A 2,432-nucleotide genomic window follows, 5' to 3' on the forward strand; every position below is an offset into this window, starting at 1 on the left:
TTTAAGGAATTCCAGCCATGAAGCTAGACAGAAGGACCAGCTGTTGTTCATTAGAGCATATTCTGGGTACTGTTGGAAGAAAAAGAGCAAGGAACTAAGATTGTGAGGTGTACCATGGTCCTGTGCTGTTTCCATCCACCTGACACCTTCACTTCCTTCACCACAATGATCACATGGCTCTGGAGAACTGACCAATCACGTTATTTTGAAGCTTATGTTATGAAGCCCTAAATCCATCTGTACTGTTTTCTACTCCAGGATTTGATAGTCACTTAAACCAGGAAGTTCCTCACTTTGCTTAAGGTATTTTGTTTGCTGTCCCTTGCAACTAAGAGAGTCCTAACACAGGTCTACTTGTTAGCCCTGGGAATTCCTAGAGAGATTAGACTAATGAAGCCTCTAACAGGTTCATTTCTCATATTTGGAAATAGACAGATCACTAAAGCCACACACACCCTTTTCTTTCTATACTTTTCTTAATATCATACATCTGCCAGGCTCCTTGTGTTAAGAGTCTGGGTGTATGTTCTTGATGGACAAGCCCTGATGAGCCTTGCCCACACCCCTTTCCAAGCCCAGCCTTGTAGAGCAGTAGTCCTAAGTGTGAGCCGCCAAAACCCTGTTTAATCAATGATCTATAGGCAGTTATCAGAGTGCTGTTCTCCTGTTGCCCCGTGAAGTGACAGGGCTTTGGGGAATGTGCTCAGGGCTGCAGTGGACCCCTCTCCACAGGGTACAGAGGTATGGAAGAACAGAGTCCTTGGCATCTGCATTTGAGCAAGACACAGAAATTTCTTGTTATATTTCCCTCAGCTGAGATGGTGGTAAAGTTTGCTACCACTACAGTTGTGTCAGACTGGGCTCCCTGAGACATTAAAGCTGCCCTCTTGATAGGTTTCACTATCCAGGCAAGTTCTGCCACAGCCACAAAGTTGGCAGTCTCTGTGCTACATCAATACCAAAAGACTAATTAACACTAAGGAGTTTCTGAGGTTCCACAGATTTCTACTTCCTCCCTGGACTGAATTCTCACCCCAGCCCTCATAAACAAGACACGCCTTCTTGCTTCCACTCTTGTAAGCAGAAATTGAATGTGGGTAATCAAAACTCAGTGTCTATACCCTGCAGACAACTACCATCCCAAGGGTGCCAACAATCAGTTTTGTAAGTTTATCCTACTCACTGATATATGCTACTACTCACCTGATAGTGGGATTATATGCAGTTGACTCTGCCCCTGCTAGAGAGCCCTGTGGATGGCACAGCCCTTTGCCATGGCCCAAATTGTCTCTATTGTGATGCATCATTGGTCCTTAATTACCCATTTCCTCTGCTTTTCTCTTGGTCCATTGTGAATCAGCACTTTATTTCAGTTTCCTTATTCTATAAATGTTCACTCAGTTAAAGCACCGCCAAAGCTGGTTGAAGGGGGAGTCTGTTGAAAAGGGCCACAAAGTCTGCAATAGTAGAAATAATGGAGATGAACCCATAGCCATGGAGTGAGGGAATATCCTCATCGAGTTGTTTCTAAAATGTGCAAAACAGTGCCTGGCACAGTGGGAACACTTGAATGTCACCACTGTTGTCATTATTTTATTCCTACTGACTCTGTTGGCAAAGCATGTCAATGAAGGCTTCCAATCTAACAGGTGCCTCTGCAGCTTTCAATCGGAGCTGCTGCATTTATTTTATCCCTTTTTCACATTGGACAGCTCAGTGGTACACTCCAGAAGATGGGGTTCTGCTGCAAAAGAAAAGTGTAGCTCTGGAAAATCAGTGGAGGCTACAGTTCCTCATCTTTCCAACACAGAACCTACAGCCAACTCTGACCACAGCTCATGGGTTCAGGCAAAGCTGGGGGCAGCCACCTTTCATTAGGACAAAAAGACAGGAAACCTGTGGCATCCACTTATTTGTTTTCAAAAGCCCTTCTTTTTGAAGCAAAGCTTCTTTTTGAAGTACCAAAAATTAATCATTTACAAAGCATCCCCCATATTTTTATAAACTCAGAAATGTTTTAGCTTTGAAGTTGAAATTTAATATTTTTTAAACAAATGTAAAAATTGATCTTTTTATATTTCACCTAGAAAACTGAATAAGCTGAATTACCAGGAATATTTTTTTCACTTTCATTTTTAAGTAAAAACTTTGCAACGGAAAACAAAATAGTACGTAGAAATATTTTGTAAACTATAAGGTATTTTGAAAACACTAATTACATGTTGTTGTTTTTTACTTCAAGTTCTGGGATACATGTGCTGAACATGCAGGTTTGTTACATAGCCATACACGTGCCATGGTGGTTTGCTGCACCCATCAACCCGTCATCTAGGTTTTAAGCCCTGCATGAATTAGGCATTTGTCCTAATGCTCCCCCTCCCCTTTCTGCCCACCCCCTGACAGGCCCTGGTGTGTGATGTTCTCCTCCCTGT

General features: G+C 42.5%; 2 annotated features.

Moving 5' to 3' along the window:
• Nucleotides 303-1,239: an enhancer, noted in NCBI's record as "OCT4-NANOG-H3K27ac hESC enhancer chr11:63215327-63216263 (GRCh37/hg19 assembly coordinates)". NCBI's record gives its function as "activates a minimal SCP1, AML or CMV promoter by ChIP-STARR-seq in primed H9 embryonic stem cells {active_cell/tissue: H9 hESC(primed)}" and the evidence as "EXISTENCE:reporter gene assay evidence [ECO:0000049][PMID:30033119]".
• Nucleotides 1,240-2,175: an enhancer, noted in NCBI's record as "OCT4-NANOG-H3K27ac hESC enhancer chr11:63216264-63217199 (GRCh37/hg19 assembly coordinates)". NCBI's record gives its function as "activates a minimal SCP1, AML or CMV promoter by ChIP-STARR-seq in naive and primed H9 embryonic stem cells {active_cell/tissue: H9 hESC(naive and primed)}" and the evidence as "EXISTENCE:reporter gene assay evidence [ECO:0000049][PMID:30033119]".

Source organism: Homo sapiens, chromosome 11 (assembly GCF_000001405.40).
Source record: "Homo sapiens chromosome 11, GRCh38.p14 Primary Assembly".
NCBI lineage: Eukaryota > Metazoa > Chordata > Mammalia > Primates > Hominidae > Homo > Homo sapiens.